The sequence below is a fragment of the Homo sapiens genome, chromosome 18 (assembly GCF_000001405.40).
Source record: "Homo sapiens chromosome 18, GRCh38.p14 Primary Assembly".
In the NCBI taxonomy this organism is placed as follows: Eukaryota; Metazoa; Chordata; class Mammalia; order Primates; family Hominidae; genus Homo; species Homo sapiens.
This window is the reverse complement of record NC_000018.10, coordinates 12,872,174-12,892,843: the sequence shown is the minus strand read 5'-3', so window position 1 is coordinate 12,892,843 and position 20,670 is coordinate 12,872,174. Positions and strand designations below refer to the sequence as shown.

At 46.9% G+C, this 20,670-nt stretch overlaps 1 protein-coding gene across 6 annotated transcripts in view, besides 7 other annotated features; it reads left to right on the top strand.

The window, feature by feature from the left end:
* Positions 6,986-7,035: a silencer, noted in NCBI's record as "silent region_9321". NCBI's record gives its function as "represses an Ori minimal core promoter by ATAC-STARR-seq in GM12878 lymphoblastoid cells {active_cell/tissue: GM12878}" and the evidence as "EXISTENCE:reporter gene assay evidence [ECO:0000049][PMID:35858748]".
* Positions 8,395-8,684: a silencer, noted in NCBI's record as "silent region_9320". NCBI's record gives its function as "represses an Ori minimal core promoter by ATAC-STARR-seq in GM12878 lymphoblastoid cells {active_cell/tissue: GM12878}" and the evidence as "EXISTENCE:reporter gene assay evidence [ECO:0000049][PMID:35858748]".
* PTPN2 (protein tyrosine phosphatase non-receptor type 2) overlaps positions 8,607-20,670 on the top strand; it is a 98,760-nt gene continuing 86,696 nt past the window's right edge. For all 6 annotated transcript variants that reach the window (XM_024451228.2, NM_080423.3, NM_080422.3 and 3 more), the window contains exon 1: positions 8,607-8,771. In XM_024451228.2, the coding sequence (XP_024306996.1) occupies positions 8,703-8,771 (69 nt within the window). In that variant the 5' untranslated portion in view covers positions 8,607-8,702. The remainder of the gene's footprint in view (positions 8,772-20,670) is intronic.
* Positions 9,065-9,404: a silencer, noted in NCBI's record as "silent region_9319". NCBI's record gives its function as "represses an Ori minimal core promoter by ATAC-STARR-seq in GM12878 lymphoblastoid cells {active_cell/tissue: GM12878}" and the evidence as "EXISTENCE:reporter gene assay evidence [ECO:0000049][PMID:35858748]".
* Positions 12,512-12,571: an enhancer, noted in NCBI's record as "active region_13111". NCBI's record gives its function as "activates an Ori minimal core promoter by ATAC-STARR-seq in GM12878 lymphoblastoid cells {active_cell/tissue: GM12878}" and the evidence as "EXISTENCE:reporter gene assay evidence [ECO:0000049][PMID:35858748]".
* Positions 14,592-14,801: a silencer, noted in NCBI's record as "fragment chr18:12878042-12878251 (GRCh37/hg19 assembly coordinates)". NCBI's record gives its function as "represses an EF-1alpha promoter that drives an FKBP-Casp9 reporter gene in an ReSE screen in K562 erythroleukemia cells {active_cell/tissue: K562}" and the evidence as "EXISTENCE:reporter gene assay evidence [ECO:0000049][PMID:32094911]".
* Positions 16,673-17,285: an enhancer, noted in NCBI's record as "NANOG-H3K27ac-H3K4me1 hESC enhancer chr18:12875558-12876170 (GRCh37/hg19 assembly coordinates)". NCBI's record gives its function as "activates a minimal SCP1, AML or CMV promoter by ChIP-STARR-seq in naive H9 embryonic stem cells {active_cell/tissue: H9 hESC(naive)}" and the evidence as "EXISTENCE:reporter gene assay evidence [ECO:0000049][PMID:30033119]".
* Positions 18,513-19,124: an enhancer, noted in NCBI's record as "H3K27ac-H3K4me1 hESC enhancer chr18:12873719-12874330 (GRCh37/hg19 assembly coordinates)". NCBI's record gives its function as "activates a minimal SCP1, AML or CMV promoter by ChIP-STARR-seq in naive H9 embryonic stem cells {active_cell/tissue: H9 hESC(naive)}" and the evidence as "EXISTENCE:reporter gene assay evidence [ECO:0000049][PMID:30033119]".

Below are 20,670 nucleotides of genomic sequence, written 5' to 3'. Positions count from 1 at the left end.
GGAGGCCAAGGCAGGAGGATCACTTGAAGCCAGGAATTTGAGACTGGCCTGGGCAACATAGTGAGACTCCATCTCTACAAAAGAAATTTAAAAATTAGCCGGGCGTGGTACATGCCTGTAGTCCCAGCTCTGGAGGCTGAGATGGGAGGCTCTCTTGAGCCCAAGAGTTGGAGTCTGCAGTAAGCTATGATCGCACCATTGTACCCCAGCCTGGGAGACAGAATGAGATCCTGTCTCTAAAACAACAACAAAAGACACATGAATCATTTTTAGAATACTGATCAAAGTCACCTAGTTTTCATCTTCCTTTATCCATTATTTATTCTTTCTTCCAAGACTAATCAAGGCAAAATTGTGATATTTATCTTAACAACGTGGTAAAGTATATATCTGTCACTCTCTGGTAACTTCTCTTCCAACAGATTTTTATGCCACCCTTTGTCCTCTGGAATGGTTCAATGCAGCTTGATTTGCTAGGACTGTACTTCTATTGTAGAACCCCAAACTCAGACCTGTGTACCCCATGAGCAGCTGGGGCCAAACACTGAGACACTGGTGCTTGGAGATAGAGAAAGGTTTATTCAATTTGACCAAGGCAAGAGGGCAGGAGGGCAAGATCTCTCAAATCTGTCTTAACAAAAAGGTGAAGCAGGGAGTTTTTGTGCAGCTAGACAAAAGGGAGGGGGAGTTTCAGGGAACCGATGGGAAAGTCTGTGTTTCTTCAGTCTCAGATAGTGCCTTGAACAACCAGACTTCTGGGCATCAACAGCCGGTCATGACATCCTTAACAGCATCCATTCCCTCTGCAAAAATGTTTTGTGACCTTGAAGTTATCTTCTCCTCTTGGTGAAGAAACAGCACATCAGCAGTTTATCATTATATTGAGGGAGCAAGGGATATTGGCAGAAAGCGGGCAGTTAACATGTGCAAGCAGGCAAGGGCCTGATCAGAATGTTCATGGTTTCAGCCACTAAAAATGCGGGGTGCTGAAATCTCAAAGGGCCCGGTTACACTCCTCACTCCCCCAGTCAACATTCATTCACCCCGCAGGTGTAAGACCTATAGCTGCTTCCAGTTCCTGCCACTCTGGTGGGGTGAGGTATTATCTCATTATAGGAGTAACTGGCATTCTCTAGTGACTAATGAGGGTAAGGTTCATATGCTTACTGGCCATTTGGATATCCTCTTCACAAAATGCCTACTCAAAAATCTCTTGCCCGTTTTCCTATTAAGCTATCTTTCTCATACTGACTTGTAGGCGTTCTTTATTTTGGGCCTGAGTCTTTTGGGGAAGTATTCACTGCAAAACGTCTACTCTGCAGTTCACCCTTTTCCTTAATGCTGTCATTTGATGAACAGAAATCCTTAATTTTAAGGTACTTCCATTCAAAAGTTTTTTCATTGAGAAGCTTAAGGATTTTTTTTCATTGAGAAGCTGAGGGATGAAACTCTAAGGAGTCCCAGATCTTCTTAGAGAAGGCGTGCCTCTAGCCCGCTGCATGGAGAGCCCTCCCTGTGGGGGTGCATTTGTGGAACTAGCTGGAAACCTTGTACAGCTGGCTGCCATATCAAATGACCATGGACTTGGTGGCTTAAGACAACACCATTTATCCTCACTTAGTTCTAGAGGCCAGAAGTCCAAAACCAAGGTGTCTGCAGGGCTCTGCTCCCTTGGAAGGGTTCAGGGAGGAGCCTTCATTGCCTCTTCCAGCTTCTGGGTGCTCCAGGTGTTCCCCGTAGCTGAGTGACTAACCTCTGCCTCCATCTTCATATGGCCCTTTCCTGTCTCAAATCTCTCCCTGCCCTTCTCCTAGAAGGACAGTTGTCATTGGATTTAGGGCTCACCCTGATAATCCAAGATGATCTGATCTTAGGATTTGTAGCTCAATCTGCAAATACCCTTTTTTCATAGAAGGTCACATTCACAGGTTCCAGGCAGACACATTTTTGAGAGGCCCCCATTCAATCTACTCTATTGCCCTCTGGGTGTATGGGAAAGTTGCTCACGGGGAGATGTCTCACGGGAGGTACTCTGCTACAGACGCACCCCCAGGAGCAAGGTGCTGGGGGAGGCTGCTGGTCACTGGAGTCAGCCCAGCAAGCACAGTTCCCCTGTGCGGTTCCCAGCAAGCCCTTTCTCCTTAAGTGTCTCTCCACTCCCCCTACTGACAAAGCTTAACACTGTGTCAGCTGGCAAAGGAAAAATATTTAAAGGGCCCAGATCCATTCTCATAGAGAAGGTGAAAAAGGAAGCCTTGAGCTTAATGTCAATAAATTGATAACTGACATATTTAGGGACTATGATAGTTCATTGGAAGGCCTACCACATATTCTGTGTAGTTGGGTTAGGTAGTTATTTTTGGAAGTTTTTTTTTTTTTTGAGACAGAGTCTCACTCTGTCACCCAGGGTGGAGTGCAACAGGCGCCGTCTTGGTTCACTGCAACCTCTGCCTCCCAGGCTCAAGCAATTGTCTTGCCTAGCCTCCTGAGTAGCTGAGATTACAGGCATGTGCCACCACACCCAGCTTTTTTTTTGAGACGGAATCTTACTGTGTTGCCCAGGCTGGAGTGCAGTGGCGCAATCTTGGCTCACGGCAACCTCTGCCTCTCAGGTTTGAGCGATTCTCCTGCCTCAGTCTCCTGAGTCACTGGGATTATAGGCACGCGTGACTACGCCCAGCTTATTTTTATATTTTTAGTAGAGACTAGGTTTCATCATGTCGGCCAGGCTGACTCACTCACCTTGGTCCCACAGAGTGCTGCAATTATAGGTGTGAGCCACCACACAGAGCCTGAAATTTTTTTTTTTTTTTTTTTTTTTGAGACGGAGTCTCGCTCTTTCGCCCAGGCTGGAGTGCAGTGGCGCCATCTCGGCTCACTGCGAGCTCCGCCTCCTGGGTTCACGCCATTCTCCTGCCTCAGCCTCCCCAGTAGCTGGGACTACAGGCGCCCACCACCACGCCCGGCTAATTTTTTGTATTTTTAGTAGAGACGGGGTTTCACCGTGTTAGCCAGGATGGTCTCGATCTCCTGACCTCGTGATCCGCCCGTCTCGGCCTCCCAAAGTGCTGGGATTACAGGCGTGAGCCACCGCGCCCAGCCCCGAAAGTTTTTTTAAAAACCGTAATTTATTTGGTCTTTTACTAAAACCATTTTTGGAGGCTGTGGATGAAGCTGAATAAATATTAGGATTTTTTGTTTGATACATTAATTGCATTTGGTCCAAACCTAGGCAGCAGATATACTTTGTGGCTCCAAAATATGGAATGAGTGAATCCCCATCTTGATCCTATGTGGCTCATATCTATCACTTTGTAATTGCTGGCAATTTTAGAGAATTTAGGTGCATTATGTGGCTTTGAAGCCATATACAGTCTTTTGCTATATTCACTAGGTGATGGTAGTTTATGAAATACTGTGTAAGATAATGTGCCTGGTTTCCATTTCTAAATGAAATACCGTTTATTTTTATTTAAATTAAAAAAGTTTTCACTCGAGTGAGGAATTTTTTAGTTTTATTGAGGTTAGCATACATATAATAAAGTCCAAAAAATCTTAAATGTGGAGCTCAATGACATTTTATACACACATGTACAAATACGTGTATATTATACACAACAGTGTACCACCAACCAAATCAAGATATGGAATATTTCCAGGACCCCTGAAGATTCTCTCATGCTTCTTCCCAGGCAACACCCCCACCCTACCAGAGGCAGCCCCCAGCTGCCTCCAGAGGTAATCACTATTCTGTTGTCTATTTTTGAACTTCATATAAAATGGAAACATATAGTTATGCTCTTTTGGATGTAGCACCATTTATTGAAGACACATTACTTTAAGCCTTTGTGAAATACACACACACAAAGATACACACCGGATGACTATATGTGTGAACCTGTTTCTGGACTTTGTTTAGTTCCACTGGTCAGCTTGCCTTGGTCAGCTTGCCTTTCCTTGCGTCGATACCACATATCTTTATAAGAGATCTTGATATCTGGAGGGATAATGTCTTCCAGATCTGTTCTTCTTGGCTACTTTTGGCCCTTGAGTTCTTCTTTAGACTCTATTCTGTTCCATTCTTCTATTTGTCTATCTTCACACTAAGAACACGCTGTTTTAATTATCGTAGCTTTAGAGTAAATCTTATTATCTGGTGAGGTAAAACTTCCATTTTCTTCTTCCTTAAGATTATTTTGGCTATTCTTGGCCCCTTGCATTTTTATTTGTAAATGGTAGCATCAGCTTGTCAATTTCCACTACAAAAATATGGTGAGATTTTGATTGAGATTGCACTGAATTCATACATGACTTTGAGAAGCACTGGCAACTTTACAATACTAAAGTTTCCAAGACATTACATCGTATATCCTTCCATTTATTTAGCTCTTCTTTCATTCCTCTGAGTGATATGTTGTGGTTTTCAGACTAGAGGTTTTGCTAATCTTTTGTTAAGAATTTTTCGGAATAGTTTATATTCCAATGTTTAAAAATTTTCTAGTTGCTGTTGCTATGTAGAAATACAACTGCTTTTTCTGCCGGGCGCAGTGGCTCACACCTGTAATCCCAGCACTTTGGGAGGCCAAGGTGGGCGGATCACGAGGTCAGGAGATCAAGACTATACTGGCTAACACGGTGAAACCCCATCTCTACTAAAAAATTAGCCAGGCGTGGTGGCGGGCACCTGTATTCCCAACTACTTGGGAGGCTGAGGCGGGAGAATGGCGTGAACCCAGGAGGCAGAGGTTGCAATGAGCTGAGATTGCACCGCTGCACTCCAGCCTGGGCGACAGAGTGACTCCATCAAAAAAAAAAAAAAAAATACAACTGCTTTTTCTTATATTGACTTTGTTTTCAAAGACATCTCTAAATTCAATTTTTTTTTCTAATTTTTTTATTTTTAGAGATGGAGTCTCACTATGTTACCCAGGCTGGTCTCCAACTACTGGCCTCAAGTGATCCTCCCACTTTGACTTCCCAAAGTGCTCGGATTACAGGTGTGAGCCACTGCACCTAGCCTAAATTCACTTATTAATCTAATAGTTGACCTGTAGATTACTTTGGATTTTCTATGTGTACAATATATTGGCTATAATATCAACTTTGTTTCATCCTTTCCAATCATTATACCACTTCTTAATTTTCCTCACTTGTTGCTATAACTATACAGTATAGAACAGAAGTGATGATAGTGGCCATCCTTATCCTGTGTCCAAGCTCAAGTGCGGGTGCAATCACTCAGAAAACTGTTCAGCAGTGTATGATGAACATATAGATACACTGCAATCCAGCAATCCCACTCCTAGACATATGCCCACAAGAAATGAGTGTATGTCTACCAAAAGACAAGGACAAACATGTCCTTAATGGTTCTCTTCATGAGAAGGCCAAACTGGAAACAACCAAATTCAGAACAAATAAATGGTAGTAGACTCAAACAATCATATGCTATTTAGCAGCAAGAATGAACAAACTATTCCTACAACGTGGATGACTCTCACTAACTTGAGCAAAAGCAGTCAGACATTAAAAAGCACATATTATATAATTAAACAAAGTTCAAAAAAGGCAAAACTAATCTACGGTGTTAGAGGGCTTGGGGCTGGTTACTCAAGGGGGAGGATTTAGGATGGCGCTCCAGGGGCTTTCTGGAGGAGAGATAAATTTCCTGTTCTTGGCCTGAGTATTGATAGACAGCTATGTTCACTCTGTAAAAACTCCCTGAGCTATGCACTTGTGATTTGTGTGCATTTTTGTGTATATTTCAATTAAAAGTTTATTAAAAACTACATATATTTAACTGAAGTTCATTCTCACTGTAATCTGTACAATCTGAATTTGTATAACAAATGTCTGCCCAGCTCTATAAATGTACAGCTCTTGTAGACACCAGGCTTTTAGGCTGTATTTTGATATGCTTGTGCCTCTGAAGTTCTAGCTATAAGGGTAGTCTGTTTGTGCTGCTATAATGAAATAGCTGCAACTGTGTCATTTGCAAATAACAGAAATTTATTTCTCACAGTTCTGAAGGCTGAGAAGTCCAAGGTCAAGGCACCAGCAGGTTTGGTGTCTGCTGAAGGCCCATTCCTCATGGTGCCACCTAGGGGCCTTCACATGGCAGGACAGAAGGGCAAAAACGGCCCAAGCTAATTCCCTCCAGTCCTTTTATGAGGCACTAATCAAATTCATGAGAGCAGAACCCTCATAACTTAATCACTTCCCCAAATGCCAACCTCTTAATACTGCCACCATGAGGATAAAGTTTCAACGTGAATTTTGGAGGGGACACCATTATTCAAACCACAGGAGGGGCTATGGGTAGTAAGTAGAGTTTTCTCTGAAAGGGGTATAAATTATACATTGAGGGGAGAGAGCCTCTTAAACAGTATACTAAAGTGCAGAAGGCAGGCCTTGTTCCAGTGAAAGAAGGGACTCCAAACTCTCGCTATGCTTCATTTCCTTTGGTCTAGAGCAGTGGTTCCCAAACAGGGATTGAAGGGGCCAAGGAGTAAGTTGAAGACATTGCTATGAATCCAAATATGTAATCCACCAAGCATTATCTGTAAAATGAGTATCTCATACATATATGTACTATTATTTAAAAATACACTTTGCTACTTAATTTCATAATTCTTTTAAATGAATTTGTAATTTTTTAAATTAATAGACTTTGTTCATTATATATTTCCTCAAATATATAAACAGTATGCACATAAAAGTATGCCTACTATCAAAGGACTTTGAACAATTTGGGGGCAATAGGGAAGCCTGACATTTTAAAATCCTGAGAACTTCTGATCTTGACTTCAAAAGGGGCAAAAGTCTACATTTGGGGTCCTTTAGAAACAGCAAGCTAGGAACTAGTTGGGTTGGGAGTCACATATGTCGGAGAGACCAAGTCATATCTTGTCAGCAGGATATCTCGAAGCAAGTTAACCTCTGTTTTCTTTTTACCCCCGGGCTTCAGTGCAGCCCTGTATAGGTATTCTTCTGGAGCAATCATTCTCAAACTCTGGGGGGGCACAGGCATCCCCAGGAGAGCTTGCTTAAGTAGTCTCCTGGGGCCCCAACACCAGAGATTCTGATTCAGTAGTTTGGGGTGAGGCCTTCAAATTTGCATTTCAAAGAAGCTCACACTGGATGCAAATGATGCTGGTGTGAGAACCACTGTTCTAGATTCTTCGCTGCACTCAGCAAACTAAGATAGGCAAATACAGCTCCCGGAACCAGAGAGGCTGACAAATGAATTCCAAAGAGATGCTGAATACTTGGCGATAAGAACTGCTGCTTTGAGATAAAGATGCTCCTCCTTTGTAGAACACAGTATTTTTTGGTTGGAAAGCAATCTGATGAGCAGACTAATGCGAACATTCACAGGATATTCTGGGAGATACCATGCCTTTAATCAAAATAATCAGATTCAATGACAGAATTTCAGAACCAAGGACCATTAGACATTGTGGGGTCTTTCGGGGGAAGCTTTCCTGTATCTCTAAATCATACTATGTAAGTAGAAAGCTTGCTGACTGCTTTTTTGTTAATACGATTTCTTCTAGCTTCCGTAGCCAACTTTTTTTTTTTTTTTTCTGGCTAGGGTTTTCATTATTTTATGTGATTAAGGACACTTTTCTGCCCCAAGTATTGTAATCCTCTCGGCCGGCTCTGTCCAAAAGAACTGTCTTCGATGATAGAAACGTTCTACATATGTACTTTGCCACATAGCAGCCACTAGCCATACATGGTTATGGCACACCTGAAATGTGGCTGGTGCCACTGAGGAATTAAGTTAATATTTAAAATTTAAATCCCAATACTGGACAGCACGGCTAAACCTTTCCTAACCCTTCACGTTTCTTATGAAGATTATATAGCAGGATATTACAAGCACTAAAAAAGAACTATCTTAAATCTGAAGCAAGATGATTTCCCTAACTAGTACGTTTGTTTGGTAAAAGAGGACGTGCTATTTTTTACAGTTAAATCTAATTCGTAAGTTGTAGAACGTTTTCTTAACAAGGTATCCCTCTCCCAAATTCCGGGAGAGGCTGGCTGCCTTTCCTTTTGCTCCAGCGGTTTATTTGGCATAAAATCTGCAGGCTTACAGGAGCTGACACCAGGGCAGAAAAGAATGAGGAATTTGTTTCCAAGTTGGTCACAGGCCGCTAATCTGACCTAGATGATGTTTAAAATAATATTCAAATACAGCACTTTAAAAAACTATGAAGGCTGAGAAGAAAACGAGAAATGGGAAGCAAGAAGGAAGGCGGAGCGTGCCGGCGACTTCTCAGGGGACTTCCTCAGGGAGTCCCATTCCAGTAACCCCGCGCTACCCACGGACCACCGCCTCTCTCTTGTCGGAAGACGCAAGCCCAAGGGGCGGCTCACCTCGTGCCGCGCGCAGGGACCACGGCCGCCGGGTGGTCCCCTGGCCCCGCCCCCTCCCACCTGGGCACCCCGAGCCCCGCCCCCCGAGCGCCCCGCCCCGCCCCGCCGCCGACTTCGCGCCGCGCTCGGGCGCCGAGTCTGCGCGCTGACGTCCGACGCTCCAGGTACTTTCCCCACGGCCGACAGGGCTTGGCGTGGGGGCGGGGCGCGGCGCGCAGCGCGCATGCGCCGCAGCGCCAGCGCTCTCCCCGGATCGTGCGGGGCCTGAGCCTCTCCGCCGGCGCAGGCTCTGCTCGCGCCAGCTCGCTCCCGCAGCCATGCCCACCACCATCGAGCGGGAGTTCGAAGAGTTGGATACTCAGCGTCGCTGGCAGCCGCTGTACTTGGTGAGTCGCGGACCCACGCGGCAGTCGCCGACCTCCTCCGAGACCCGGACTCGTGCCCTGTCCGCAGGGTCCCTCCCGCCTCCCCCGCCTCTCGCCTCTAGCCTCTCGCTCGGGGCGGAAGTGGCGGCGCGGTCCGCGTCAGGGGCGCGCCTGCGCTGACCGCTCTCTTGCTCCTTTTGGTTTAAAAAAAAAAAAAAAAAAAGCATACTTGAGCTGAGCAGCTCATGGTTAGCGCAAGCGCAGTTAGTTCTGGAGGGCGGTGCCACAGCGGCTTCTTGGGGAGCGCGTGGATGCGCCACCAGCGTTGCGCGGCCCGGGTCTGGGGGTCCTTGGGAAAGCCGTGGGGGCGCTCGGGCGCGCGCCCCCGGGCCGCAGCTTCGCCGTAGCTCCCACGCCGCTGTGCTTGGTTCTTGCTCGCGGACAGCTCTTTCTCTGGCCGGGTGTTTTGTGGCCGGGTGGGCAGCTGGCGTCCCCGGGAGCGGTGAGGGCGGGGGCGGGCGAGCCGGGCCGCGGCGTCCGGGTCCAGCTGGCGCCCGCGCAGGACCTGTGGGAGCAGGCCGCTCTGGGCGCCGGGCCGGCCGCCGCAGCCCTCTGCGAGGCGAAGCTCGCTCTCCTGGCGGAGCCGCGGTGGTTGGGGGTGGCTCGTGGCCTCTGGCGAGGGCAGCGCTCTCGGGACCCTCCGTCTTCATTTTCCCCCGTGGCCCAGCAGCGCCCAGCGTGGGTTCGGCCCCCATAGAACCTTCCCGGAACGAAAGAGGCTTTGCTTGTGTTCGTCCAGTGATAGCGTGTCATTCTCTTTATAGTTTTCCTTACTGAGGTATACTTTCCCTACAGTGAAACGCAGCTTTCATGTGTGCTCCCAGACGGGTGTCACAAATGAATCCCCTCTTGCAAGCCCCCTCAAATCAAAATAGCCTTTCCTTGCCCTGAGAAAGTGCCCTCATCCCCTCCCCGGGGGCACGGTGTTCCGATGCCTATCGCCCTAATCGTGCCTGTTCAGCTCACATAGATGCAATATGTAGTATAAACACCTGTGATTCGCTTTTTTTATGTCAACTAGACTACCTTTTAATTCAAACAAAACTTTATCTCTTTTAAAATGATGTAACTGCTTTCCCCTTCGTTTAATCCTTGTCGTATTATTCCCAAGATTGAATTTGGTGACGGTTAAGTTAATGCTGCTTCTGATGTTTGGTTCTCTCTGTGTAAAGTAAAAGACGGGCTTTCCTGTAAATGGATGATCCTGGGTTTTTCCCCTTTCCATTTAATTAGATGGCAGTGAAAAATGTGTTCAGAAAGTAACGTTTTCTTCTTGAACACATTAGTGGGAAGTATAAATATTCTGATTCCCATGATACAGAGTATGTTAGAATAGGGATCTAAGTTTTAAAGAATGCTGGTAAGGACTCTTCCAATTATAGACAATCTGAAACGCAAATTCTGGTAGGAATCTTCATGTGAGAGAGCCTGCCAGCTGCATCTTCTCCAGTTACATTTGTTTTAGCAGAGGCTGCTGTCTCTCTAAGGGATAGGTTATATATCGAAATAGATTTGAAAAGAGAAAAGTGAATATAACTTAATTCAGCTTAACATTTTGGTTTAAGAAATTTAATTTTCTTTGGTATCATTAATATCCTTGAAAATTCAATGAGAATTGTGATTCCTCTTTCCAGAAAAATGAACTTAACTCGCATCCACTGGAGATTTCACATGCATTTTCAAAAAGATAAGGAAATCCTTCTATAGATTCTTACCGAGGAATCCTGTAGTTTCCTTGGTTGGTCAATGCTCATATTATTTTTTCCTAGTTGAAAACAAGACCATTAGTTTGGTCAGTAGAAACCATGGCATGCACACTGGTGTTACAGTAAAAGTAGGTCACAAACCAAGAAAGTTAGTAATGGAAAGCAAGTCAGGAAGTTTGAGCTATGTGTTCTCCTGTGGCCTTAGAACATCCATTCAGCCATTCCACAAATATGCCCGGACCCCCAGTGGAGTTGCAGCTTTTGCTCCTGGCCTTGGGGATTCAGCAGAGAATGCTCCTGGCAAGTTTCCTACCCTCGAGGTGCTCACTCTAGGGCTTATTCTTTTGGGGCCTCATTGTAGTTCCATATTTTCATTCATTCGTTCATAACATGCTTGTTATGTGCTAGTGTTAGACACTGAGGATTCTTGTTAAAAGACAGGAGTCCCAGTTTTTAAGGATGCAGCCCTGTAAATAGGTAAGCTGATGAAAACGTTAAAGTGATACATGTAAAGCTAGCTTGAAGCACAGGGTCTTGTGGAGTTGAGTTACCTAGGAGTCCTGTATTTCCCAAAAAGGGGTACACATGGGAGTTCTGGTGAAGCTTCTCGAGGGAGGGAGGACCTCACCTAAGTCTTGAAAGACATTGGCCAGGGGAAGAGGACAAGGGAGGTGAAGAGAATTACTGTTCCAGCAAGGAGGGAGTGCACAAAGGCACTGAGGGAATGCTGAGAGAACCACCCACAGTTTAGCCTGGAGACTGGTGTGAAGTTGAGATGCTGGAGAGTAAGGCAGAGCCTAGATCAGACTAAGGAATTTGAGCTGTTTAATAGGAACTCATTGTGGAATTGTAAGTCTGGAAATACCATGATCATATTTGCTTCTTTTTTTTTTGACAGAGTCCCGCTCTGTCGCCCAGGCTGGAGTGCAGTGGTGCGACGTCAGCTCACTGCAACCTCTGCCTCCTGGGTTCAAGTGATTCACTTACCTCAGCCTCCTGCGTAGTTGAAATTACAGGCACACACCACCATGCCCGGTTGATTTTTTTGTACTTTTAGTAGAGACAGGGTTTCGACATGTTGGCCAGGCTGGTCTCGAACTCCTGACCTCAGGTGATCCGCCTGCCTCGGCCTCTCAAAGTGCTGGGATTACAGGCATGAGCCACTGCTCTGGGCTGATCATATTTACTTGTTAGCAAGATCGTTCTGACTGCTAGCAGACTGGATGAGGAAAGTGTAGGCACGCAGCACAGGGCAGTAGTCGGTTGGAGTAAACCTGAAGAGACATGATGAGCTTCTGTTAGGCAGTGGCAGGAGGGATGGAGGGGAGATACAGATTTGAAATGAAATGGTAAAGGGGTATACGTTATGTACAAGTTTGGTTTTGAAACTTTAATTCTGTTTGAGGTACCTGCGAGACACTGAAATGAAGCTAGTTGAATGTATAAATTTGGAGTTCGGGAGAGAGGGTCTGAGTAAATGTGATTTTGGAAATCATGAACACATGGGTGATATTTGAGGTCTTAGACATTGATGAGATCATCTAGGGAAGATACAGAGCGTTTGGAAATATCAAAGGCCAAGGACAGAATCTTGACAGACAACATTTAAAAGGATGGGTGGAGAAAGAGGAACTTGCAAAAAAGACTGGTGAGGAACAACCACAGAAGTGGGGAGGAAAGCAGTGGAGGGAGTTGAGGGTGAGCAGGGCCACCTGACAGGTAAGGGCCAGCCTGAGAGGGCCATGACATTGAGCAGCTAGATTAACAGATACCTTAAAGGGAGTTGTGTCAGCGGACTACACAAGACAGATACCTGGAGTTCAGGAGAGAAGGTAGGAGGAAATGCAAACTACCAAGTGTACACTGCTCTTTTTAGAAGCCCAACTTGAAGAAGTGGGGAGAGGTAGCTAAAATGAAGCAAGATTGTGTGACTTCTCACTTAAACCCTTGAACGGCTTTCCGTTGCTCACAGTGTAAATTCAGCCCCTCCTCCGGCTCACAAGACCTCATGGCCTGTGTCTCTTGCTTGATTTCCCCTATCACTTTCCTCCCTCTTTTCCACTGTGTTGTATTCTTGGAAGTGTGTGTGTCCATTCTCCCCTTAGGGCGTTTGTAAATGTTGTTCTCTTTGCCTTGGCACAACTTTCCCCCCTTCTCTTTCCTTTCTTGCTTAAACTGCCTCCTACTCATCCCTGAAGTCTCACTTCCTTGGCAGGCCTTCTTGACCTGCCCATGCTGGGTATGAGCCCCTGTTGCGTACTTCTTTAGCATCCCAAGACTTCCCCTTTCATAGCGGGAATTGGATGTCATACAGCAGCAAATGATTTCGGGAACACAATTTGCATTAAGCAAACCACTATCTTGAAAGTAACACAGCTTGAGTAGGAAAAAAGTGTTTAAGGTGGCTTTCTGCTTTGTTTAGCACAGCAGTGGGTGATGTTTCTGATAATGTTTTTGAAGAGTTGTGCTTTTTTTGGTAATGCTCATGGAGCTGGGAAAAGAAAGGCTTTGCTCTTGAGCAAAAACTGAGTACAACTAAAAGCTGGACTTGCTTAGTGGTAGGAGAACTTGATACCTTGTTGAAATTCTAGCGGGAAAAATGAATTTAGTATTTTGAGTCTGGAACTCTGGTCCCTTATTCCTTTTTGCTCCTTTTGAAAAGTGTCTTTTATTTCATGAGTTTGATAATAGGAGGTTTCTTAGAAATGAATTATTGGGTTGGAGCAGAACAGACTCTGTTAATCTGAGTTTATATTTTTTATTACTTCTTCAGAGTTTCATGAAGGCACTGCCAGTGCTTTGCACAGTATCAGGTGCTTAGTAAGCACTTGAAAATATGTGCTGAATGAATGACTTTTTACGAGGAAAGGGCAACTTGATATATTTATGTGATTGCAGGGATGAACCTAAAGAGAGAGGTGGAGGTTGAAATAGAAGGGATGATTGTTGGAGCCAGAAATCTTAGAAAGCAAGAGTCAATGGGACCAAGAGCACACAGGTGGAAGAATTGATCGTGAAAGAGTGCTGGCCAGGCGGTGGCTCATCCCTGTAATCCCAGCGCTTTGGGAGGCTGAGGTGGGAGGATCACTTGAGGTCAGGAGGTTAGGGCTGCAGTGAGCCATAATTGTGCCACTGCACTACAGACTAGGTGACAGAGTGAGATCCTGTCTCTAAAACAAGAACAGCAAAACAAAGGGTGCAGTTGGAAAAGTTTAATTTGGTCTGATTGTGTGAGGTTAATTCTGACTTTTTGAGTAATGTTCATGATCCCTTTTTGGCTTTTCCTTTTGTCACTGCTGATTGCTGTCTTCATCAGGCTGAGCTTTGAGAAAGGCAGAGAGAAGGAATGGAGTCTGTGTGCCTACTGAGGAAAAGACTAAAACTGGGGAATCGCAAAAGCTATGTTATGGGTTGTTTCTAAGAAGTGATGGCTCAGAAGGAATTTGGCTTATTTATTTTTAAATTCCTTTCTTTTTTAAAGAGTTCTCACTCTGTTGCCCAGTCTGGAGTACAAGTGCAGTGGTGCAATCATAGCTCACTGCAACCTTAAACTCCTGGGCTCAGGTGAGCCTCTCACCTCAGCCTCTTGGAAATTGGTTGATTAATTAGGGTTTATAAACAATGGAACTCCTGACTGACTTCATTTTTCTTTTTTTGAAACCAAGTCTTGCTCTGTCCCCCAGGCTGGAGTGCAGTAGTGTGATCTCAGCTCACTGCAACCTCTGCTCCCCCCAGGTTCAAGCAGTTCTACTGCCTCAGCCTCCCGAGTAGCTGGGATTACAGGTGCCCACCAGCACGCCCAGCTAATTTTTGTATTTTTAGTAGAAACGGGGTTTCACCATGTTTGTCAGGCTGGTCTTGAACTCCTGACCTCAGGTGATCCACCTGCCTCGGCCTCCCAAAGTGCTGCTGGGATTACAGGTGTGAGCCACCACGCCCAGCCACATTTTTCTTTTTCTTTCTTTTTTTCCTTTTTCTTTCTTTTTTTTTCTTTTTCTTTCTTTTCTTTTTGAGACTGGGTCTCACTTTGTCACCCAGTCTGGAGTGCAGTGGCGTGATCTCAGCTCACTGCAGTCTCGACCTCTTGGGCTTTAGACATCCTCCTGCCTCAGTCCCCCACGTAGCTGGGCCTGGCTAATTTTTTTGTATTTTTTGTAGAGACAGGGTTTAACTATTTTGCCCAGGCTGGTCTTCAACTCCTGAGTTCAAGCAATCTGTCCACCTCAGCCTTCCAAAGGCTTAGGATTACAAGCATGAGCCACTGTGCCTGGCCATTTTTCTTTTTTCTTTTTCTTTTTTTGAGACAGTCTTGCTCTGTTGCCCAGGCTGGAGTGCAGTGGCGTCATCTCGGCTCGCTGCAAGCTCTGCCTCCCAGGTTCACGCCATTCTCCTGCCTCAGCCTTCTGAGTAGCTGGGACTACAGGCGCCCGCCAACACTACAGGCGCCCGCCACCACGCCAGGCTAATTTTTTGTATTTTTAGTAGAGACGGGGTTTGACCGTGTTAGCCAGGATGGTCTTGATCTCCTGACTTTGTGATCCACCTGCCTCGGCCTCCCAAAGTGCTGGGATTATAGGCATGAGCCACTGCGCCTGGCCGCCATTTTTCTTTATTAGAAATTTGTAGTTCAAATATTGCTAGAGAACAATTTTTACCATTTGTGAGTCAGCTAATTTTTAGAAGTCAGATATCAAGTGCACACTGTTCTTCTCATACTTACAGCGGGGCAGCCAGTTAGGCAGGTGAATCAAAGCTGTCTTATTCTAAAACACTTCCCTTGCCTACTAGTTACACATTCTCCTGCCTGCTGTCTAATCTCAGTGCTTTTACATGGTTGCACAAACTCTGAATTCCCTTGAAGATTGGCTACTCTCTCACACCTTGGAGTCTTCATGTGTTGGATATACTCCATGCCTACCATATCTATTTGGGAAACATCTTCAAGACTAGACCGTAGTCTCCTTGGGCAAAGTTAAATGCTCCCCCTTCTCTCATTTCTTAGTTCTCTATATTCTTTTATTAGAATATGAACCACATTGTTTTGTAACTGTCTACTTGTCTGTTCTGTGTAGCTCCTTGAGGGTGGTCTTTTTTTTTCTTTGTTTTCCCACCACCTACCTACGGGACCTGAAACATGTTAGATGCTCAGTAAATATTCAGTAAACACAGGAAAACTGTTCCCTTTTAAAATGTCAGCACCTTAGTTTATTCCAAACCCCTCATTTATGGCTGAGGAAACACTGGGCCAATACAGTGTTGTGACTTATCTGATGTTACAATATCTGCTAGTGTCATAACTGGGACTCAAATCCAGTCCTTCTGATTCTCGTTTCAGCACTGCCCTAATTTACCCATGTGACTACCTGTAGTGCTTTCTTCTTATGATCTATTTGAGATCAGTGGCACAGAGGGAATCGTCTTAATTTTGATGGCTAGGAGGGAGTGGATGTGTTATAATAGGTAGGGTCATTTTGGGACTTGAGGCCTTTAAAACAGTGTCTGGGATCCAGGGATCAGACTTGAAAGGTATTTGCAAATCTCCTGAAACTGCTAAATTTTATGTACGTGTGTTCCCAGGTATTTCGTTTCTAGGTGATTCTGTAGCTTTTGTCAGTTTCTTAGTGGATTTGTCTGTGATCCCTCAAAAGGTAAAGACCACTGCTTGAAGGGAAAGCAGCCTTGGGATGGGTGCCCCAATGGGGAATGTATACCTAGAAATCATATTGTTTTGCCTTTGACATGTGTTTATAGATTACTGATATCTATAATTACGGAAATCCAGATAGTTGCGTTTGTCTCCTAGCTTTTCTAGTTGCCTCTTTTTTGATTTCTTGATTTTAACCAGAATCTTCTTTTTTTCTTGAGAAGGGGTCTCATTCCGTCACCCAGGCTGGAGTGCAGTGGCACGATCGTAGGTCACTGCAGACTCAAAACTCCTGGCTCAAGTGGTCCTTTGCCTCAGCCTCCCGAGAAGCTGGGACTACAGGCACACACCACCACGCCTGACAAATTTCTTCTTCTTCTTCTTCTTTTTGTTGTTGTTCTTGTTGGCCAGGCTGGTCTGGTCTTGAACTCCCGGCCTCAAGTGGTCTGCTCACCTTGGCTTCCCGAAGTGGCGAGATTACAGGCATGAGCCACCATGCCCAGCCCTTAACCAGAATTTTGTTTTGTTTTGTTTTTTGAGACAGGGTCTCACTCTGTCACCCAGACTGGAGTGCAGTGATGAGATCACGGCTCACTGCACAGATGCACGCCACCATGCTTGGCTAATTTTTTATGTTTTGTAGAGACAGGTTCTCACCATGTTGTCCAGACTGGTCTCGAACTCCCGGGCTAAAGCGATCTTCCGGCTTCACCCTTCCATAATGCTGGGGAGCCACAGTGCTTGGCCAACCAGAATCTTAAAAGCCCTTTTTACTTTTTCCAGATAGTTACTCTGCAGAGAATTTCTGATTCCCAGTTGGAGAACTGTTACAGCTCTCTCAGTCCCCTGCTGTTCTTTTAGCTACCTTGTCTTTGTCCTCTTACCTGTCCACTCTCTACTCCCCTTCTTCCCTTTGGTCTCCAAATAGTCCAGATAAACCAGAGAGATGGACAGATAAGGTCTGGGTACGCGAAATTAAAATTAACATAGTGTGCTCTTCACTTTCTTGAATAAACGTTACGTATGATTTGTTTCCCTTGGAAATCCTCATCTAGATTCTCTACTCTCTATTCCTTAACTTAATGCCCCATTAAGGTAGTTTTTTCTTAATGGAAAGCTGTTGAGAGTCAGAGGATATTTAAACCAACTAATAAACTGAACTTTTAATAATACCACCCTTACTTTGGATAAGAGTGATTAGCCATATACTAAATCCTCAATCAGTTTAGCATGTAAAATTTAAGACATAGCAGCTGATAACTGAGGAAGAGATACATTTCCACAGGCTAACTTTAAAGAATATAAGCTCTCACTTTCCTGAGTAGAAGAAAACTAAACTTTTCTGTTCTATGCTTTTTTTTTTTTTAATTTTTATTTTTATTGATCATTCTTGGGTGTTTCTCACAGAGAGGGATTTGGCAGGGTCATAGGACAATAGTGAAGGGAAGGTCAGCAGATAAACAAGTGAACAAAGGTCTCTGGTTTTCCTAGGCAGAGGACCCTGAGGCCTTCCGCAGTGTTTGTGTCCCTGGGTACTTGAGATTAGGGAGTGGTGATGACTGTTAACGAGCATGCTGCCTTCAAGCATCTGTTTAACAAAGCACATCTTGCACTGCCCTTAATCCATTTAACCCTGAGTGGACACAGCACATGTTTCAGAGAGCACAGGGTTGGGGGGTAAGGTCACAGATCAACAGGATCCCAAGGCAGAAGAATTTTTCTTAGTACAGAACAAAATGAAAAGTCTCCCATGTCTACTTCTTTCCACACAGACACGGCAACCATCCGATTTCTCAATCTTTTCCCCACCTTTCCCTGCTTTCTATTCCACAAAACCACCATTGTCATCATGGCCTGTTCTCAATGAGCTGTTGGGCACACCTCCCAGACAGGGTGGTGGCCGGGCAGAGGGGCTCCTCACTTCCCAGTAGGGGCGGCCGGGCAGAGGCGCCCCTCACCTCCCGGGTGGGGCGGCTGGCCGGGCGAGGGGTTGACCCCCCCACCTCCCTCCCGGACGGGGCGGCTGGCCGGGCGGGGGGCTGACCCCCCCACCTCCCTCCCGGACGGGGCGGCTGGCCGGGCGGGGGGCTGAACCCCCCACCTCCCTCCCGGACGGGGCGGCTGGCCGGGCGGGGAGCTGACCCCCCCCCACCTTCCTCCCGGACGGGGCGGCTGGCCGGGCAGAGGGGCTCCTCACTTCCCAGTAGGGGCGGCCGGGCAGAGGCGCCCCTCACCTCCCGGACGAGGCGGCAGGCCGGGCGGGGGCTGATCCCCCCACCTCCCTCCCGGAAGGGGCTCCTCACTTCCCAGTAGGGGCGGCCGGGCAGAGGCGCCCCTCACCTCCCAGACGGGGCGGCTGGCCAAGCGGGGGGCTGACCCCCCCACCTCCCTCCCGGACGGGGCGGCTGGCCGGGCGGGGGGCTGAACCCCCCACCTCCCTCCCGGACGGGGCGGCTGGCCGGGCGGGGGGCTGACCCCCCAACCTCCCTCCCAGATGGGGCGGCTCGCCTGGCGGGGGCTGACCCCCACCTCCCTCCTGGACGGGGCGGCTGCCAGGTGGAGACGCTCCTCACTTCCCAGACAGGGTGGCTGCCGGGCGGAGGGGCTCCTCACTTCTCAGACGGGGCGGCTGCCGGGCGGAGGGTCTCCTCACTTCTCAGACGGGGCGGTTGCCAGGTGGAGGGTCTCCTCCCTTCTCAGATGGGGCGGCTGGGCAGAGACGCTCCTCACCTCCCAGACGGGGTCGCGACCGGGCAGAGGCGCTCCTCACATCCCAGACGGGGCGGCGGGGCAAAGGCACTCCCCACATCTCAGACGATGGGCAGCCGGGCAGAGACGCTCCTCACTTCCTAGATGGGATGGCGGCCGGGCAGAGATGCTCATCACTTTCCAGACTGGGCAGCCAGGCAGAGGGGCTCCTAACATCCCAGACGATGGGTGGCCAGGCAGAGACGCTCCTCACTTCCTAGACGGGGTGGCGGCCAGGCAGAGGCTGCACTCTGGGCACTTTGGGAGGCCAAGGCAGGCGGCTGGGAGGTGGAGGTTGTAGCGAGCCGAGATCACGCCACTGCACTCCAGCCTGGGCACCATTGAGCACTGAGTGAACCAGACACCGTCTGCAATCCCGGCACCTCCGGAGGCCGAGGCTGGCGGATCACTCGCGGTTAGGAGCTGGAGGCCAGCCCGGCCAACACAGCGAAACCCCGTCTCCCCCAAAAAAATACGAAAACCAGTCAGGCATGGCGGCGCGCACCTGCACTCGCAGGCACTCTGCAGGCTGAGGCAGGAGAATCAGGCAGGGAGGTTGCAGTGAGCCGAGATGGCAGCAGTACAGTCCAGCTTCGGCTCGGCATCAGAGGGAGACTGTGGAAAGAGAGGGAGAGGGAGACCGTGGGGAGACGGAGACCGTGGGGAGAGGGAGAGGAGGCAGAGGGAGAGGGAGAGGCTTTTTTTTTTTTTTCTTGAGACGGAGTCTTACTCTGTCAACCAGGCTGGAGTGCAGTGGCACGATCTTGGCTCACTGCAACCTCCACCTCCCTGGTTCAAGTGATTCTCCTGCCTCAGCCTCCCAAGTAGCAGGGACTACAGGCATGCGCCACCACACCCAGCTAATTTTTGTATTTTTAGTAGAGATGGGGTTTCGCTGTGTTGGCTGGGCCAGTCTTGAACTCCTGACCTCAGGTGATCCACCCACCTTGGCCTCCCAAATTGCTGGGATTACAGGCGTGAGCCACCGCGTCCAGCCTGTTACATTCTTAATTGGAATAGCATTGCCCTGCAGTGCCATTATCTGAAATAGCTTTTAAGAATGAATGTAATGCCATTTTAAATGTATTTAAATGTTGTGCCGATTTAATGTTCTATGTACGGTACAGTACTACTAATGGTTCAAGAAGTTGTTTTGACTTAACAGTGAAATCCTTGCTTTTAAAGATCATAGATACCTTTAGACACCTTTAAGATGAAACATGTTTATGAGAGGAAATGTCCGCACAAATACAATCCCCCGCAAACTTAGCATGTGGTTTTAGTAGGTTCATAGGCCCACCTGGTGATCCCTAGGATAAGAAATTGTGGTCAAGAAACTGATTTCAGGGGCCGGGCTGGTGGCTTACACCTGTAATCCCAGCACTGTTTGTCTCAAAACAAAGAAACTGGCTCAAGGTTGGATACTTTTCAAACGAGAGGAATGGAGGAAGGGAATGCAATGAATAACTTTTCAAATCCAGTATGTCTGATTTAATATGCCGTTTGCTCTGTCAGTTTCATTTGGTTCGTGTCACTGATCATTTATAACCTTTTTTCAAACTGCTTTCATTCCCCTAAGGAAAATCTGATACTGAATTATTTTATTTCTTCTTTCACTATATTTGAACGGTTTTATAGTCTGAAAGCTATCAATTTCTCATTACAGTTTACTTCATAGTACTTCTAGGAATTCTTCCTGTGGTTTGAGGTAAGGCTACAGGATTCCTAGAGTTTGTACCCCTCTAGTCCCAGTAAAGGACCT